General features: G+C 36.5%; 1 long non-coding RNA gene across 2 annotated transcripts in view, besides 1 other annotated feature; it reads right to left on the bottom strand.

Moving 5' to 3' along the window:
• Nucleotides 1–20,595, bottom strand: part of LOC107986059 (uncharacterized) — a 125,190-nt gene that overhangs the window by 86,328 nt on the left and 18,267 nt on the right. For both annotated transcript variants that reach the window (XR_007095784.1, XR_001740585.2), the window contains exon 3: nucleotides 8,548–8,631. This is a non-coding gene — a long non-coding RNA (uncharacterized LOC107986059). The remainder of the gene's footprint in view (nucleotides 1–8,547; nucleotides 8,632–20,595) is intronic.
• Nucleotides 11,388–12,203: an enhancer, noted in NCBI's record as "OCT4-NANOG hESC enhancer chr3:946672-947487 (GRCh37/hg19 assembly coordinates)". NCBI's record gives its function as "activates a minimal SCP1, AML or CMV promoter by ChIP-STARR-seq in naive and primed H9 embryonic stem cells {active_cell/tissue: H9 hESC(naive and primed)}" and the evidence as "EXISTENCE:reporter gene assay evidence [ECO:0000049][PMID:30033119]".

The following is a 20,595-nucleotide window of genomic DNA, read 5'->3' as shown; positions in this document are numbered from 1 at the left end:
AGGAGTGTCAAGATGTCAGTGTCCTATTTATTGCACTGGCTTTCCACACATTGATTTGTTTTCTTCATGGCGATGATGTAAGTTATAACTGAATTTTCTGTCTACTTTCTGTCTGCCCCAGCAGAGTGTAAGCTCCATGAGGACAGGAGCCTTGGTCTTCTTATACTTGCTTCATTTTTAGAGCCTTGAATAGTGCCTAGGCACAAGGTACTCCCTAACTATGTGGAGAATGAGCCAATAAATGAAATAATGAGTAACTAGGTTTAGATACATAACTAAGGATTCTCTTGTTTCATATATCCTCACACCACTTCTGTTAATTCTTTAAACCATTCATTCTTCATCAAATATTTTAAAAGGTTTCATGTATCAGATATTATATCAGGCTTAGCACAAGATGGATATAAGCATGGACCTTGGGGAGACAGCTTAAAATAAAAAAACACATATAAATAACACGATCTTAAATTATAACTCGCATACTACACGTGTCTTTTTCACAATCTATTTGTTGTTATGTTTGCTTTTTGCATTGTGCTTTTTAAATGCAGTTCTTTCTAAATGCAAGAAGACGGTGCTACGTCTTATGAAGAAAATAATGTGTGCTAGAAAACCTTCATTCAGGAATGAGTTATGATACTGTTGGCTGTGAGTTCAACCATTAATGAATTAATACTATAATAGTGTTAAATACACTATGTATAAAATAAAGTGTATTCAAACAGAAACATGCATAACACAAGGTTGTGTATTGATTGATTTATGAAAATGTTTTAAGTAGAGGTTCTCAGTAACAACTATTTCCTCTAGGGGCAGTGATTCTGTGTTCCTTCATTCAGTGCTGTCAGTAACTTTATAGAATATGAGTGCTGCAAATAATGATAATCAACTCTGTGTGTGTGTATAGATAATTAAATGTATATATTTATATGTATACTTTATAAATGTAGAAAATGTAACATTTTATAACACTTATGCATACATATTTATTATGTATATATTTTGCTTGATTTGGCAACCTGCGTGTAGACCATGCTAAAGAGTTCAGATGTATTCTACATTTCTATGCTTGATTAAAAAAACCATTGAATGTTTATCAATACAAACCTAAATTCGTATATGTTGGGGGAGGGCAAGTTTGCAAGTAGAGAGAACAATCAAATGTATATCATGATAGCCAAGGGTAAGACTGATGACAAACTACTTTAAAATAAATCACTGTTGCTGGAAATAGAAAACTATATATATATATATATATATATATATATATATATATGTAATACTTTATTTTGCAGGTAGAATAAGCTACGGGCAAGCAGCCCCATAACCTTGATGAATGTAAACCACCAAATGCATACATATGAGTAGGCTGATGGGAGAGAAAATTAGAGATGGAAGTAGCACTGGCCGTCATTTTAGTGGATTGCTTTGAGAACAAAAGGAGATAGTAATGTGTTAAAAAGGTGGTATAATTTGCACTCATCGGAAATGCACAAGAAATGTTAAACGGAGTCTCTCATTGGTTTCATCATTCCCCAGATGATCTTATACTTTGGACAATTATTGAGATAATTGAGAGATAATTTCAGATTCACAAAAAGTGAATTTCCTGGACTGTTATTTTTAAACAGCTCATATGACATCTTTTTAGCATCAGTATATTTTTCCCATCTATGAGAAATTATTTGCACATGATTTGGATGCAATCTTAGGCTTAGTGGTATAGGCACATATTTGTCAAATGTCCAAAGATTTCTTAGAATTCCCCAGGCATAAACATGTAAATACTCAGATGTTCCTCTTCTTGGCCAGCATCAGCAGCATAAGGCATCAAAGAAGTCTGCCATGTGATCCAAACCTTGTAGTCTTTAATTCAATACTAATAGTTGAAATATAAGAGCAAACACTTGTTCAGGTTCCAGAGTCATCTGCTATTAAATCCACTTGGCAGGTCAAGTTTGGAAAAATGTTGACATACAAAATGTTAAATAAAGGTTTGCTTTAAACCTCCATACTTCACAGGGTTCAAATTGAGTTTCTGATTTATGAGTGATAAATACATAGGATCAGATGTTATAAAAACCTTCTCATTTCTAGCAGGCAAATGTTGGAAGAGTCTAAAGAATATAATGGAACCTTTTCAGATACAAATATAGGGGATAGAATGTTAGAAGGCAGTTTGGTTTAAGATTAGCTCTATGTTATGCTGGGCTTCATACCTAGGTGATGGGTTAATAGGTGCAGCAAACCACTATGGCACACGTTTACCTTTATAACAAACCTTCACATCCTGCACATGTACCTTGGAACTTAAAAACAAAAATTGAAAAAAAGAATATAATATATTTGAAGAAAAAATTAGTTCTTTGTTAAATGAAATTGTTTTGCTGAACCAATTGAGTCATTCCACAATTAAATACACACACACACACACACACACACACACACAAACATTAATCCAAATCATTTTATGTATGCAATGAGTAGCTTAATGTAAAACAATTTTGAAACATTAAAGTGGGAACAGAGAGAAAAAGACAGATGGAAAAGAAAACTTTATTCTTTACATGTCTGCTCAAAGTTCTCTCAATGAAGAATCTCTAACAACTCAAGGGAAAAGAAACCATCAGAGCCAGGACTGTGGCTGACACCTGTAATCCCACCACTTTGGGAGGCTGAGGTGGGCAGATCACCTGAGGTCAAGGGTTCGAGACCAGCCTGGCCAACATGATGAAACCCCATCTCTACTGAAAATACAAAAATTAGCCAGGTGTGGTGGTGCCTGCCTGTAATCCCAGCTACTCGGGAGGCTGAGACAGGAGAATTGCTTGAACCCAGGAGGCGGAGGTTGCAATGAGTCGAGATTGCACCACTGCACTCCACCCTGGCTGGCAGAGTGAGAGTCTGTCTCAAAACAAAACAAACAAACAAAAAAAACAATAAGAAAAAACCCAAAACATCAGTTATGTCTACCAATTCAATTATTTACACAATCAGTAGAGTCAGAGGGAAAAAGTAAAATTCAGTTTGTTGTGTGCATGAATGTGCATGCACCTGAACATACATAGAAACTGAACAAATGTCAATGACTGCTGTACGAAATAAATTTATGAAATCCTTGTTTTAGAGTAAGTGCCTATACTTGGCCCTGTGAACTCCGAGTATCTGAGATAGGTCTCAGTTAATTTAGAAAGCTTATTTTGCCAAGGTGGAGGATGTGCCCCCATGACACAGCCTCAGCAGATCCTGACAACATGTGCCCAAGGTGGTCGGGGCACAGTTGGTTTTATACATGTTAGGGAGACATGAAACTTCAACCAACGTATGTAAGATGAACATCGGTTCGGTCCTGAAAGGTGGGACAACTAGAAGCAAAGGTGGGAAAACAAAGTGGGGAGGGGCTTCCAGGTCATAGGTAGGTAAGAGACAAATGATTGCATTCTTTTGAGTTTCTGATGAGCCTTTCCAAAGCAGACAATCAGATATGCTTTTATCTCAGTGAGTAGAGGGATGACTTTGAATAGAATGGGAGGCAGGTTTGCCCTAAGCAGTTCCCAGCTTGACTTTTCCCTTTTGCTTAGTGATTTGGGGACCCTAAGATTCAGTTTCCTTTCACAGCCCCAACAGACTATAACAAACCAGAACGGATTCACTCATGCTAGGTGCTACATAATCAAACTGAACTTTGAAACAAGCCAGTATTAAAAAAACAAAAACAAACAAACCAAAAAACCCACATTATTCACAGGAAACAATCAGGGGCAGCCCAGTTTATCTGAACCAGTGTAATAAGGAATTCCCTGTTTTAACTCTATATCGATAGTAACTTTGAAATGACTAATCTGCTTTTTGTTCTGTTTTCTTCAACTCTTTTCTGCCTACAAAGCCAACCTCCTCTGCTCAGCTTGTTAGAAACAAATGCTTGTTCTTCGATGCCGAAAAGACGAACTAGTGCTCAAACAAATAATTTTCTCTCAGCAGGGTAATTTTACTTCTGTAGTAGGGTGCGACTCATGGTTGGAGCAATGGCGAGAGCACACCTGAACGAGGGAGGGGAAGGGGTTCTTATTGCCCCTACTGCTGTGTCGTTCCCCTGTTGGCTAGGGTTGGACTGCACAGTCTAAGCTAATTCTGATTGGGTATTTTAAAGAGAGCAGGGGTATGAGCCAGAGTGGCGGGGTGAGCAGTTTGGTGGGACAGAACCGGTGACTAAAACTGACTCAGGTCAGAGCAGGTGACTGGGATGACTCAGGTCAGAGCAGGTGACTGGGATGACTCAGGTCAGAGCAGGTGACTGGGATGACTCAGGTCAGAGCAGGTGACTGGGATGACTCAGGTCAGAGCAGGTGACCAGGGGAACAGATGTGAACTACTGATTAAAACTGGTGGGAAAGGTTGCTTACTGAAACTACGAGGAAGTTAAACTTTAAAATGGAGGACAAAGAACTGAACATACTGACATACTGATTCTTTGAAGAGAAGTTTAGAACTCACTGTATCCAACAAGCTCATCGGAGTTCTTATTCTATTTTATAAAATGAGATGCTGCCCACATTCATGAATTGTAAATAAAAGCCAATTAAATATCTAACCTAAATTTGTTGTAATTTTGTTTTTTTGTTTTAAATGGGTTGACAGATTACATTTCAATTCGAGACATGGAATGTTGCTTTTGTTGGCAGTGTTACAATCTCACATTCAAGTCCAGGTAAAACTTTACACAGAGTGAACCTACCTTCTTGAACAAAAAGACGTCACTAGATATAGAAGGGCAGTGATAGTCCCTTCAAGCTTTTTTCAAGAATGTTCAACATTTTATTTGACAAAAAAAGACATCATCAGTGGATGGAGTGTCACCATGAGTAAGTTTGTGCATGGAGCAGAGAGGGAAGAGGCAAAAGATAAAACTTCTGTTAGGTACAGATATTCACAGATATTTGTGCACAGACTGAAGCATTTCAGCGTCTTTTGATTCTCTTTCTCAAAATGTTTATACACAAAGAACTATTTTCTTCTCATTAAGCCTTATTAGCTTTAAAATTATCACATTTAAACAGAATTTTTGAGGTTTCCAAGGAATTCTGTTACACATTGGCTCATGTTATTTTTCTGCTCCAAATTCACACCACTAAGCATTACCCAACTTCTGCTTTCTCTCTCCTTTGCCTTGCTTCATACTGTCAGGCCTCTGAGCCCAAGCTAAGCCATCATATCCCCTGTGACCTGCACATACACATCCAGATGGCCAGTTCCTGCCTTAACTGATGACATTCCACCACAAAAGAAGTGAAAATGGCCTGTCCCTGCCTTAACCGATGACATTGTCTTGTGAAATTCCTTCTCCTGGCTCATCCTGGCTCAAAAGCTCCCCTACTGAACACCTTGTGACCCCCACACCTGCCCGCCAGAGAACAACCCCCCTTTGACTGTAATTTTCCTTTACCTTCCCAAATCCTATTAAAGGCCCCACCCCTATCTCCCTTCGCTGACTCTCTTTTCCGACTCAGCCCACCTGCACCCAGGTGAAATAAACAGCCATGTTGCTCACACAAAGCCTGTTTGGTGGTCTCTTCACACGGACGCGCATGAAACTAATCATATTTAATCCTCCACTCAACCTGCTTTCTTTCCCAGTGTTTCTTTCCCAATGTTCTTTTCCATCTAACTCTGGTTCGAAGAGTGATCCCTCTGTGTCACCAGCACCTAGGAACCTGTTAGAGATGCAAGTGATATGGCTCTAGCTTAGATCTCAGAATCAGAAACTCTGGATGGTCCCCAGTATTTCATGTTTTAGCAAAGCCTTCCTGTTAATTCTAGCACACAGTCAACTTTCAGAACCACAGATCTCTTTTTCTGAGACCCAGCTCATGTGTTACCCTCTGCAGGAATGTATTTACAAATCCATTTCCCTCTTTCTTGTGCCCCCATTAACCTGAGTACATCTACGCACCAATCTTTATCGTTGTTATTGAAATTATTCTCTTGCATTTCTATAGTAGGGATCATGGTGCATTTGCTACAATTCATATGTGTAACAACAAAACAATGACCACAAAAACTTTATTTTCCGTCACTGGGTTTATTATGCCTTAGGTAGGCAACATAGCATAGTGGCTGGCCGGGCTCAGTGGCTCACACCTCTAGTTTCAGCCACTCAGGAGACTGAGGCAGGAGGATTGTTTGAGCCCAGGAGTTTGAGGCTGCAGTGAGCCATGATTATACCAATGCACTTCAGCCTGGGCAACAGAGTGAGACCATGTTTCTAAATAAAATAAAAAGAAACAAAGCTTAAAAATAGCATTGTGGCTAAGAGCCTGAATTAAATTCTGGCTCTGAAACTTACTAGCTGGATAACTTTGTGTAATTTGCTCAATCTCTGTGGGTCTCATTTGTGAAATGGGTATAATAATTTCACAGGGTTCTTGTAAGGATTAAATAGGTTAATATATTTGAAACACGCAGAATAGTTCCTATTAGATAGTAAATGTTGCCTAAGTATTTGCTATTATTTTTTCTTGCTCAGTATTGGGGAGAAAGACAAAAATCCTGAATGGATCTCTTCAAGATATTTCTGTTGCTTCCAGTATAAAACAGTTTATTTCAGGTAACCTCAGCATCATTTGGATAACTGCTTGGTATTTCAGGTTTCTCCCCCTTCTACCTCCTCTTTGCCCTTTTCCTGGGTGTTACCGTATTCAAGGTAAGTTTACTCATTCTCATAGAAGAAGCAAGGATCTCTGTGTTAGGCTGCTCTTGCATTGCTATAAAACATACCTGAGACGGGGTAATTTATAAAGAAAAGACGTTTAATTGGTTCACAGTTCTGTATGCTGTACAGGAAGCATGGCACTGGCATCTACTCAGCTTCTGCAGAGGCCTCAGGAAGCTTCCAATCATGGCAGAAGGTCGGGGGGACAGGCCTCTCACATGGTGAGAGTAAGAACAGAGTGAGATCGGAGGGGAGGTGCCACACTTTACAACACCTAGAGCTCTCAAGAACTCATTATTAAGAGGACAGCACCAAGCCACGAGGGATTCACCTCCATAACTCAAATACCTACCACCAGGCCTTATCTCCAATATTGAAGATGATATTTCAATATGAGATTTGGATGGGGACAAATATCCAAACTCTATCAACCTCCATGTTCATTTTGGCTTGCTTCTGTGACCTCTGATTGGAGAACACCATATGTCACTTGAGTTATGGACATAAGTTCTGTTCTCTCTGGGTCTGGACTGATGTGTCTGTAGCTACTGTCGTGTGTTGATTGTTCCTGAGATCCGCAAGGGTGTGGATAGACAATAATAGTGTTCATGGAGCTTAGCCAGATGGCCCAATGACTAGGCCTCCATCTTGAATCTTGCTGACTCTGCTGGCTTTCTGGGACTCTTTAATCTCCCACATTGGTAATGTCCACCACCAGCCTCTGCCATGGTACTTTTGCCCTGAGCCTTATTCTTTTCTTACTTTTTTTTTTTTTTTACTGAGACATGGTCTTACTAATTCTGCCATCCAGTTTGGAGTATAGAGGCATGATCACGGCTCACTGCAGCCTCGGCCTCCTGGGCTTAAGTGATACTCCCACCTCAGCCTACTGAGTAGCTGGAACCACAGTCACACACCACCACCCTCAGCTATTTTGTTTGTTTGTTTTTGTTTTTTATAGAGAAGGGGTCTCACTATGTCGCCCAAGTTGGTCTCAAACTTTTGGGCTCAAGCATTCCTCCCGCCTTGGCGTCCCAAAGTGCTGGGATTACAGGCATGAACCACTGTCCCCAGTCAGCCCTATTCTTCATTCCCCACTACCTTCTGTGTATTGATCCTGTCCTTTCTGAGTTTCCACCATACGTCTGCTGACTGTTTCTGCCATATACCTGCTGAGGAGAGCTAACACTGACCAATGTCTGTAGAGACCATCTTCATCTACCATCTATGGCACTACAGGCTCATACTATATATTTCTGCGAGTGAGAACAAAGGTGCCCCACTTGGACATGGCAAGTGGACTCAGCCTCTCTCTGACTTAGAATAAGATGCTGCTTTCCCAGGTGTTGCTGGTTGCAGAACCCATGGCACCTATGAGAAATGAACCCCTCCACAAGTTATAGAGGAGCTCTTCCCATTCCATTGCTTCTCTTCTGCTGCTCTCTGCTGGTGGAGTAGTGGGAGGCAAGGCTCAAGCAACCAGAGCCCTGACAGTATTTTCAAGCATTTTCCTTCAGCCCTTTCCTATCAACTCACTCACCTTGCTGCCTCCTCGCCCCTTCTTCTGTGGCTAAGAGCCTGGGGAAGGGGAAATCTTGGGTAATGAAAGCCTTCTCTAGAACAATAAACTTTAAATCTCTCTCAAATCCTGGACGACGACTCCTCAAAGCAGAGGCATTTCCCGGTGCCTCCAAACCCCCACTCCAGATGGCATGTTCTCCCTTCACACTGTGGTTTGACATAATGCCCCATATATATTCATAATATGTGAAGGATTTCTTGTGGATTTAAAAAATTACTCTTCTCCCATATATAAAAGCCTGGAATTAAAGACTTACTTTATGGTCAAGACCTGGTTCTGCCGTCCCAATGAAGCAACATAGGCCATCGATTCAACAAGTGGAAGTGTTGGAATAATACGGCTGTAGAAAAGGAAAAAAAATACACATGTGAACTGCCCATTAAAACAACAATGAAATATGCACCTGTTAGAATGGATGTATCACATCCCAACACATTGCCAACACCAAATATCGACAAGGAGGCACAGCAACAGGAACACTTATTTCTTCTGACAAGATTACAAAATGATACAACCATTGTGGAAAATGGTTTGGCAGGTTTTTATAAATCATAACGTATTCTTACCATATGACCTAGCAATTATGCTTTTAGGTATTTACTTGAGTGAGGTGAAAATCTAACATCCACACAAAAACCTGTTTACAGTGGCTTTGTTTATAATCACCAAAACCTAGAAACAACCAAGATGCCCTTCAGTAAGCAAATGGATAAACAAACTATGATATATTAGTGTAATGGCATATCAAGAAGACAAAATGAACTATCAAGCCATGAAAAGACACAGGGAAACATCAAATGCATTTTGCTAAGTGAAAGAAGCCCATCTGAAAAGTCTATATACTGTATGAGTTTAACCATATGGGATTTTAGAAAGAGAAAAACTATAGAGACTGTAAAAAAAAAAAAAAAAGAAAATCAGTCATTGCCAGAGGCTTGTGAGGAGGAAGAGAAAGGATAAATAGGTGAATCACAGGTGAAGCTATTTTTCATGAAACTGTAGGTATATGCAGTTTGTATATCAACACCCATAGAACTGTATGATAAAAGGAATGAAAATTAATGTAAGCCATGGACTATAGTTAAAATAATATGTGACTATTGGTTCTTTAATTGTAACAAATGTACCACACTAATGCAAGATCTTAGTAATAGATTTGTCATTGGCTATTTTGTCTCTTACGCAGGTCAGTTTAATTGCATTAGTAGAGAATTTATACATGTCAAGTTAGTCTAGCAGGAAGAGAGATGATTAAAACAAACACCTAGGTTGTGAGGAGACATCTGGTCAAATAGGAATAGAATTGTACTAGAGTTTATATTTCTTAGAAATAAACGTATACACTTTTTCAATAGGTATATATTTATTAACATGTTATATTTCATAATGTAGCATATGTATTTACATATCAATTAATAACTTAGAAGTCTTGATACTCTGAATTTTAAGTCATTCATACCTCTTTCAAAGTAAATTATGCAATTTATAAACATTTGAAAATAAGTTTAGTAGAGATTGTTTTCCTAAAATGCCATCTTCTTAGAAGATATATTTCTTCCCAAGTTCTATTTTTTCCTTTTTCTAAATTGACACATTATATTTGTACATATTTATGGGGTACCATTTGATTTTCAATACATGTATACATTGCATAAATATCAAATCAGGGTAGTTAGCATATTCATTACCTCATGCATTTATCATTTCTTTGTGATGAGAATGTTCAAAGACATCAGTCCTAGCTGTTTTGTAATGTTAAAAGAAAAATCTTAGACAAATTCAATTTAATAAAGTTTAATTGAGCAAAGAACCATTTGCAAAGCAGGGAGCCTTCTGAGCCAGAGTAGGCTCAGGGGACTCCAGTGCAGCCACGTAGAAGATTTATGGACAGAAAAAGAAAAATGAAGTACTGAAAACAGAAGTGAGACACAGAAACAGCGAGATTGGTTACAGCTTGGTGTTTGCCTTATTTGAACACGATTTGGATAACTGGCTGCTTTGATTAGCTGAAACCCAGTGATTGGCACAAGGTTAAATTATAATCTGGTTACACATCCACTTAGGTTACAGTTCACTATGTAGGAAGAGACTCTTAGGCTCAACTTAAAATATGTAAGAATGCAGCTTTAGGTTAAATTTCATTTAATGTCCAGGCATGGTGGCTTACGCCTGTAATCCCAGCACTTTGGGAGGCCTAGGTGGGTGGATCAACCTGAGGTCAGGAGTTCGAAACCAGCCTGGCCAACATGGTGAAACCCATCTCTACTAAATATATGAAAAATTAGCTGGGTGTCGTGGCATGCACCTGTAGTCCCAGCTACTCAGGAGGCTGAGGCAGGAGAATCCCTTGCACTGGGGAGGCGGAGGTTGCAGTGAGCTGAGATTGCACCTCTGCACTTCAGCCTGGGTGACAGAGTAAAGCTCCATCTCAAAAAAAAAAAAAAAACAACAACAAAAATTCATTTAACAACAACTTACTGTTAACCTTAGTAACCCTACCATGCAATCGAACAACAGAACTTATTTCTTCTATTTAATTGTAACTCTGTGCCCATTGACAAACCTCTCTCCATTTTCCCCTTCCAAATCATCTCTGGTAAAACAGTGTTCTACTATCTACTTCCGTAAGAGCAACGTATTTATTTAGATTCTACATCTGAATGAGATCATTTGGTGTTTGTCGTTCTGTGTCTTATTTATTTCACTTAACATGATATCATATGGTTAGGCTGTGTCCTCACCCAAATCTCTTCTTGAATTGTAGTTCCCATAATACCCTGTGTTGTAAGAGGAACCAATGGAGATAACTGAATCATGGGAGGCGGTTTCCCCCATCCTTTCTGGTGATAGTGAGTTAGTTCTTACAAGATCTGATAGTTTTGTGAAGGGCTTCTCCCTTCACTGGGCACTCATTCTTCTCCTTGCTGTTGCCATGCGAAGAAGGACGTGTTTGCTTCCCCTTCTGCCATGATTGTAAGTTTCTTGAGGCCTCCCCAGCCATGCTGAATGGTGAGTCAATAAAACCCCTTTCCTTTATAAATTACCCAGTCTTGGGTATATCTTTATTAACAGCCTAAGAACAGACGAATACATTTAAAGTCCTCCGTATTCAACCATTTGGTCTGAAATGACACAGTTTCATTTCTTTATTGCTGAATAATATTCAATTGTGTAAATATGTATACATTTACTATTTGTTGAACATTTAGGTTGATTCCAAGTCTTGGCTATTATAAATAGTGTTGCAATAAACATGGAAGTGCAGATGTCTCTGACATATTGATTTTATTTCCTTCGTATGTATATATTCAGTAGAATTTGTGGATCATATGGTCCCACATTTAACTTTTTTAGGAACCTGCATCCTGTTTTTTGTAATTGCTTTACTACTTTATATTACCACCAAGAGTTCTCTTTTCTCCACATCCTCACCAACCTTGTTTTCTTTTGTCTTTTTAATCATAGCCATTGTAATGGGAGTTAGGTGATGTCTTTTGAAGTCAAGTAATGTGATGCCTCTAGCTTTGTTCTTTTTGTTTAAGATTGCTGTGGACATTTTGGGTCTTTTGTGGTTCCACATAAGTTTTAGAGATTTTTAAAAAATTATTTCTGTGACGCATGTCATTGGTATTTTGATATAGATTGCATTAAATCTGTAGACAGTTTTGGGTAATATGGCCAATTAAACAATATTAATTCTTTCAACCCATGAACACAGAGTTTATCTTTTCATTTCTTTATGTCCTCTTCAATTTCTTTCATTGATGTTTCATAGTTTTTAGTGTAAATACCTATCAAGCCTCTGGTTTATTCCAAGGTATCTTTCTGTTCTGTTGCTATTGTAAATGAAATTATTTTCTTGATTTCTTTTTCAAATAGTTAACCTTTGTCTATAAAATCACAACTAATTTTTGTATGTTGATTTTCTGTCCTGCAATATTACTAAATTTGTTTATTAGTTCTAACAGTTTTCTGGTATAATCTTTAGTGTTTTCCTTCTGTAACATCATGTCACTTGTAAAAAGAGAGATATTTTGCCTTTCTCCTTTCTAATCTATATTTATTTATTTATTTATTTTATTTCTGTTGTCTAATTGCTCTAGTTAGAACTTCCAGTACTATATTGAATAGAAGTAGTGAAAATGAACATCCTTGTCTTATTTCTAATCTTAAGGGAAAATCTTTTGGGTTTTCCCCATTAAATGTGATCTTAGCTGTGAGTCTGTCATTTGTATGGCCTTTATTGGGTCGAGGTACACTGCTTCTGAACCTAATTTGTTGAGAGTTTTATTATAAAAGGATGTTAAATTTTGTCAAATCCATTTTCTGTGTCTATTGAAATGATCACATTGTTTTTGTCTTTCTTTCTGTTAATGTGTTGTGCCACATTTATTGATTTGTGTATGTTATGTTAAAACATCCTTCCATCCCTAGGATGAATCCCGCTTGATCATAGTGAATGATCTTTTTGATGTGCTGTTGAATTTAGTTTGCTATCATTTTGTTAAGAATTTTTGCATCTATGTTTGTTAGGTGTATTGACCTGCAGTTTATTTATTTTTTTTCTTGTGTCTTTGTCTTGTTTTTACATCAATGTAATGCTGGCTTTGTAAAATGAATTTGAAAATATTCTCCCCTCTTTAATTTTCTAAAATAGTTCAAAAAAACCTGTTATTAGTCTTCTTAAAATGTTTGGTAGAATTCATCAGTGAAGCCACCAGATCCTGGGCTTTTCTTTGATGGAAGACTTTTTACTAATTCAATTTTCTTGCTCATTATTGGTCTGTTATGATTTTCAACTTAATTTTGGTAGGTTGTATGTGTCCAGTAATTTATCTTTTCTTTTTTAGGTTACCAAATTTGTTGGTGTAAAATTCTTCACAATAGTCTTTTATGATCTCTTGTATGTCTGTAGTATCAGTTGTATTGTCTCTTTTTTTATCTCTGATTTTACTAATTTGAGTTTTCTCTTTTTTCTTAGTCTGGCTGAAGGTTTGTAAATTTTGTTTATTTTTTCCAAAATAATCAACAATTCTCTTCAATGATCTTTTGAACTGTTTTTCTTGTGTCCATTTATTTATGTTTTAGGCTTTATTAATTTTTCCCTTCTACCAATTTATATATTTTTTTCTTGCTTTCCTATTTCTTTGAGGTTCATCGTTAGGTTGTTTATTTGAAAGCTTTTTCTTTTTATGTGATAGGTGTTTATTACTATAAGCTTACCTTGTTTGAACTGCTTTCATTGTATATCATAGGATTTGAAACGACGTGCTTTCATTCTCATTTGTCTCAAGGAATTTGTTAAATTTCTTTTTAATTTATTCCTTGATCCATTGGTGATATAAAAGCAATTTGTTTAATTTCCACATATTTGTAAAGTTTCTAAAATTTTCTTGTTGTTCATTTCTAGCTTTATACCATTGTGTTCAAAAAAGATACTTGATATACTCTCTACCTTAAATATGTTGAAACATGTTTTGTGTCCTTGAGAATGTTTCATGTGCAACTGAGAAGAAGGTATATTCTGCAATTATTGGAGGGAATGTTCTGTAAGTATATGTTAGATTCATTTTGACTATGGTGGAGCTTAAGTTTGATGTTTCTTTGCTGATTTTATATCTAGACAACCTATCTATTGTTAAAAGTGGGAAGTTGAAATTTCCTGTGATTATTGCATTGTAGTCTATCTCTCCCTTTAGATCTGATATTTGCTTTATGTATTTAGACACTCTGGTGTTGTGTGCATATATATTTATCATTGGTATATCCTTTTGTTGAATTTCTCCCTTTATTAAATATAATGACCTTCTTTGTCTCTTTTTACAGTTTTTGACTTAAAGTGTACTTTATCTAACATAAATATGGCCACTCCTTTTGCTTTTGGTTTTCTTTTCCATGGAGTATCTTTGTTTATCCTCTCATTTTCAGTCTGGGTTTATCTTTAATAGTGAGTGTCTTGTACGCAATATACAGTTGGTTCTTAGTTTTTCAAAATCCTTTCAACAATGCAATCTTTAAATTGAAGAATTTAATCCATTTACATTTAAGGTTATTATTGAGAGGCAATGAATTGCCCTTGACATTTTGTTAATTGTTTTCTGATTGTTGTATAGACTCTTTGTTCTTTTTTTCTCTTTTATTATTTACTACTATGGCTGGGTGGTTTTCTGCTGTGCTAAGCTTTGCTTCCTTTCCCTTTCTCATTTGTGTACCTGTTGTAATTTCTTTCTTTGTGGATACCATGAAGCTAACATAAAGGTTCTTGTAGTTATAATCGACTATTCTAAGATGAGAGCAACTTAATTTTGGTCACATAAAAATACTCTAGACATTTTTTCCTGACCCCTCCCTGTAATTTATATATTTGTTGCCTTAATGTGTGTCTTTATCTATTGTTTTTCTTAATGACTAATTGTAGAAGTTGTTTTTTGACCCCTTTGGTTTTTAAACTTTATATCAGAAGATTAAAAGATTGACATAGCACTATTATAGCACTGGGATATTCTGATTTTGGTTATGAGCTGCCCTCTACTGGTGAGTTTTATATTTTCATGTGTTTCCATAATAGTAATTATCTTCACTTTCAGTTGTAGCACTATCATCTTAAGCATTTCTGTAAAGACTAGTGTAGTGGTGATGAATTCCCTCAGATTTTGCTTATTTGGGAAGGTTTTTATTTCTCCTTCATTGCTGAAGGACAGCTTCGCTGATATAGTATTCTTGGTTGCCAGTATTTTTTTTTTCTTTCAGCACTTTGAATATGTCATACCATTCTCTACTGGGCTGCAAGGTTTCTAATGATTGATCTGCTGACAGTATAATAGAATTCTCTTATATGTGACTTGACACTATTCCATTTCAGTTTTCAGAATTCTTGCCTTGTCTTTGACTTTTGATAGATGGATTATAATGTACCTTGGAGTAGATCATTTTTGTTGTAATCTAATTGGGAGTCTTAGAGTTTCTAAATCTGGTTGTTCATATGTTTGCTAAGACTGGGAAGTTTCCACATACTATTTCAATATTTCTGCCTTTCTTTATATCTTCTCCCTCTGGCATTCTTATAATGCAAATATTCATTCACTTAATGGTGTCCCATAAGTAGACTTTCTTTATTGCTTTTTATTTTTGTTTACTTTTTCTCCCCTCTAATTAGGTTACTTTAAAAGAACTGTCTTCAAATTTAGAAACTGTTTCTTCTATACAAATCATAAATACATATGCTGCCAAAATGGCTAGTATGTTGTTAAACCTCTCAGTTGTACTTCTTTTATTCATTGAATTCTTCAGCTCCAAGATATCTGTTTTGTTCTTTTTTTATATCTGTCCCTCTGTTGAATTTCTCATTCAGATAATAAATTATTTTTCTTATTTCATTGAATTGTTTGTCCATATTCTCTTATATCTCATAGTTTAAAAAGAATCATTATTTTAAATTCCAGGAATTGCATAAATTTTTTTATGGGGGGCTGTTAATGTAGAATTATTATTTTCCTTTGGAAATGTCATGTTTCCTTACTTTTTCATGTTTCTTATATCTCTGCATTGATATCTGCATATCTGGTGGAACAGTTATCTTTTCCAACTTTACGGGCTAACTTTTGTAAGGAGAGACTTTTTCCTATAGGTGTGTCTAGGATGTCAGTTGAGTATGATCCATTATCTTTGGTTCTGTGTGGTTCTCTGCAGTTTCATTAGCTATAATTCTCATCAATGATGTCTGCAATTTCATCAGTGGCCTAGGCTACAGGAGTTTGTGATTGTAATGGCTCAGTTTTGTTAGGGGCAACGCTACCAGCCTCACTGTTTAGACAGACTTGCATGGTGGGCCAGCTGGCTATGTAGTGGACTTTCCAGGGCTGCAGGGCCACCCCTAGTCTGGCTGTCAGGCATGGCTTACATAGGTATAGTGGGCTGGCCAACTCTGAGGTGGGTTCTTCAATGGGTGGGGCTGCTGCCATCCTTCCTGTTGGGTCAGGCACACAGGCACCACAGGCCAATCAGCTGCTTGTTGGCTTTCTTGCTGTGCAGATATGCCTGTTTCCCAGGGAGGAGGGGATGTTGCATGGATTTGGGCCATTCCACTGGGCCTAAGCTTAAAGTAGCTGGGGTTGTAGTTCTGTGGCCTTCCTTGTGAGCATGGTGGAATGATGCTGGGGCCTCAGGGATGGAGAGACACAGTGGCTACTGGCCCCCAGAGTAGGACATACTCTAGCAGTCAGTCTGGTTTCAGGATGGTACTATGCAGTTCCAACTTAGGTCACGGGAGTTGGTGGGTATACGAAATGGGCTCCTAGTATAGGGCAACACAGCTATGTGAACTCCAGAAAGCTCCCCAGATAGAATTTGTTGACTGTGAGGCTTGCAGGACCCTCCCGTAGCAGCCTGCAGGCATCTGCAGTAGTAATGGGGACAACTGGTGTCTCCAGCTTACCTTTTCTCGATAAGCAGTAGCCCCTCCTGGCTATGAGCCAATCCCAGTGAGGGAACAATTTGGTAGAGTTTGTGTGTCTCCCTCTTCTTTTATGGTTCTATCCTGAGTTTCTGTGCTTCACAGGGATTTTTTCACTCCCCTTATGTTCCCCAGCATACTTCCTCAGTAACTTCCACTGAAATATAGTTGTTCATTTGTTATGTTGGAGGGGAACCCCACAACCCTTTTTGTGGGGATGAGTGCCAAACAACTCTGATTGACCATCTTGCTAACATTACTCTCCCTGTTCTATTTCTAAATTAAATTTAAAATGTATAGAAATAAATGCAAGATTTAGAAACTACATATTGGCAAATCTGCCTTCTCACTGCCAATAAGACACACACTCGAATTTAGTCTTCAGCAAGGGTGTAATATACAAAGGGCTAGACCTCAGAAAATATGCGTTTGAGTCCTAATTCTGGCCCCAATTTTAAAATCAATTATCCTTAGAACTTAATCTTTCTGAGCCTCTTTTTTTCTCCTGTGGTATGCAAAATGAATGTGAAGTTGATGACTATTAAATTATAAATTTCATTTATTCTACGCTAACCCTATTTTAAAAATCAATAAATATGTTACCTATGATTCAGCAAAGAACACTAGTATCAGTCAGTTTAATGTATTAAAGGATTCTTAAGTCTTTCATATATTAAAACTTATTTTCATTCTACAATGGTTATTGTTTTGTGTTTTTCTTACTAAACTATATCTTAATTTTATGTCATGTAATTGCATTAATTTTTATCAAAAATAATTACTGCAGAAAAAAGTTACTATAATTTTAACATAATTATTAAACTTCAGCTTACTATTTTAAAAACTACTTATTTATTTTGCTGTCAGACAAAATAGCACTTCTTATTTTTAGGCCTTAGTTTTTTTTTTAATTTTATTATTATGATACTTTAAGTTTTAGGGTACATGTGCACAACGTGCAGGTTTGTTACATATGTATACATGTGCCATGTTGGTGTGCTGCACCCATTAACTTGTCATTTAGCATTAGGTATATCTCTTAATGCTAGGCCTTAGTTTTAAACAGATTAAAATAATATTTTTAAGTGGTAAAAGAATAGATAGATAGATAGATTAGATATCTATATATATTCAGAAAGTAATTAGTATAGAAGTAAAAAAAAAGTGACAGTGTAGTGTTATACCTTTCTTGGCCCATTAGAAAAAGAATAACATAATCTAAGTTTTCATATTTGCAAAATTGGCAAAATCATTCTAAGCTTTGGGGTCAGGTGATACTAAGGGGTATTCTGAATGATGTAAATTCTAAAAATGTGACATGTTGTTGCTTGTAATGTTTACATTATGCTTCATTCACATTCCAAGATAGACTCTATTACCATGAGGCTTAAAAATTATATAGGAATAGAGATCAATGTCTCTAAAAGAGGGCTTGTTAACCTTTGCACTATTGATATTTTGGGGCAGTTACATGTTTTGTTTTGTATTGTTTTGGTTGAAAGCTGTCTTACCTACTGTAAGATTTTTACTAGTATTTCTGGCTTCTACCTAGTTAATGCAAATACCCACTCCACCTCTACTGTTACAATCAAATATGTCTTCGGACATTACGAATGTTCCTTGTGAGACAAAGTTAGGCTTGGTTGAAAACCACTGGTCTAGAATATACTGAACTGAAAATAATTTTAATGCCATTTACAGGTGGATGAGATTGAATGCAAGTTTTAGTTAAAAAATCATTTTTGCAGTTTTATGGATAAATAATTTATAATTTATCAAATAAAGTGTATAATTCAGTGGTTTTTATTGCATTCACACATTTGTGCAACCATCATCAAACTCTGGAACATTTGTATCACTTTAAAAGGAAACACTTGTCCTCATCAGCAGTCATTCTCATTATTCCCCCACCTTCATCTATCAGTCCCAGGCAAGCACCAAAATACTTTCTAACTCCATGAACTTACTTATTACATACATTATATAAAAATGGAATTTTACAATATCTTTTTGTAAGTTTTTGTCTAGGGTGTGACTGGATTTTCACTTAGTTTTCAAGTTGAATTTATGTTTAATGTAATATGTATCAATACTTCATTTATTTTTATTGCAAAATTATATTTCATTATATGTATATAACATATTTAATTTATCCAATCATCTTTTGCTTATTCTTTAGTTACTGAGAAAAACTGCATTATTCAACTATGACTGTAAATGTAGCTATTCATTATTTTTCTTCTATTGTTTATTTATTTTGTACTTTTTTGTTTTATTCATTTTGAGATTAGGTTATTAAATGCTTACAAAGTTATTTTTGTCATCTTTTTCTGTTGTTTTATCTTTTTATCATTATAAAATTTCAAACTTTATGTATAAATATTTCTTGCTTTTCAGTATAGTTTCTTTAGAATTACAAGCTTTGTTTTGATTAGGTTTATCATGTTCCGTAATTCTACTTTCAGTCTTTCTTATTTTTGTATTAAAGACACATCTCTTATCAGCAGAACACAGTTACATTTTGTTTCAGTATTCAATTTTAAATTGTTTGCCTACGAATTGCAGGATTTTGTCCATATTAACTTAATGTAATAGCTGAACTATTTGAGTTTAAATGGACTATTCTATGAATTTTTTAAAAATTTGTCCTATCTGCATAGGCATGAGCAAAGACTTCATGACTAAAACACCAAAAGCAATTGCAACAAAAGCCAAAATTGACAAATGGGATCTAATCAAACTAAAGAGCTTCTGCACAGCAAAAGAAACTATCATCAGAGTGAACAGGCAACTAACAGAATGGGAGAAAATTTCTGCAAGCCACCAATCTGACAAAAGTCTAATATCCAGAATCTACAAGGAACTTAAACAAGTTTACAAGAAAAATCAAGCAACCTCATCCAAAAGTGGGCCAAGGATATGAACAGACATTTCTCAAAAGAAGACATTTATGCAGCCAACAAACATATGAATAAAAGCTCATCATCACTGGTCATTAGAGAAATGCAAATCAAAACCTCAATGGGATACCATCTCACACCAGTTTAAATGGTGATTAAAAAGTCAGGAAACAACAGATGCTGGAGAGGATGTGGAGAAATAGGAATGTTTTTTCACTGTTGGTGGGAGTGTAAATTAGTTCAACCATTGTGGAAGACAGTGTGGTGATTCCTCAAGGATCCAGAACCAGAAATACCATTTGACCCAGCAATCCCATTACTGGGTATATAGCCAAAGGATTATAAATCATTCTACTATAAAGACATATGCACATGTATGTTTATTGCAACACTATTTACAATAGCAAACACTTGAACCAACCCAAATGCCCATCAATGATAGACTGAATAAAGAACAATGTGGCACATATACACCATGGAATACTATGTAGCCATAAAAAAGAATGAGTTCATGTCCTTTGCCAGGACATGGATGAAGCTGGATGCCGTCATTCTCAGCAAACTAACACAGGCACAGAAAACAAAACACTGCATGTTCTCACTCATAAGTGGGAGTTGAACAATTAGAACACATGGACACAGGGAGGGGAACATCACACACCAGGGCCTTTTAGGGGGTGGGGGGCAATTGGAGGGAGAGCATTAGGACAAACACCTAATGCATGCAGGGCTTAAAACGTAGATGACACGTTTATAGGTGCAGCAAACCACCATGGCACATGTATACCTATGTAACAAACCTGCACATTCTGCACATATATCCCAGAACTTAGAGTAAAATAAAATAAAATAAATTGTCCTATCTGTTTTATATTGTCCTACTTATTTCTTTTATATTGAGAGTAGTTCATTATTACATTCTTCATTAGTTTACTATTATATAGTACATCCT

Source organism: Homo sapiens, chromosome 3 (genome assembly GCF_000001405.40).
Source record: "Homo sapiens chromosome 3, GRCh38.p14 Primary Assembly".
NCBI lineage: Eukaryota > Metazoa > Chordata > Mammalia > Primates > Hominidae > Homo > Homo sapiens.
The sequence above is the reverse complement of the archived record's forward strand: the minus strand, read 5'-3'. Positions and strand labels throughout refer to the sequence as shown.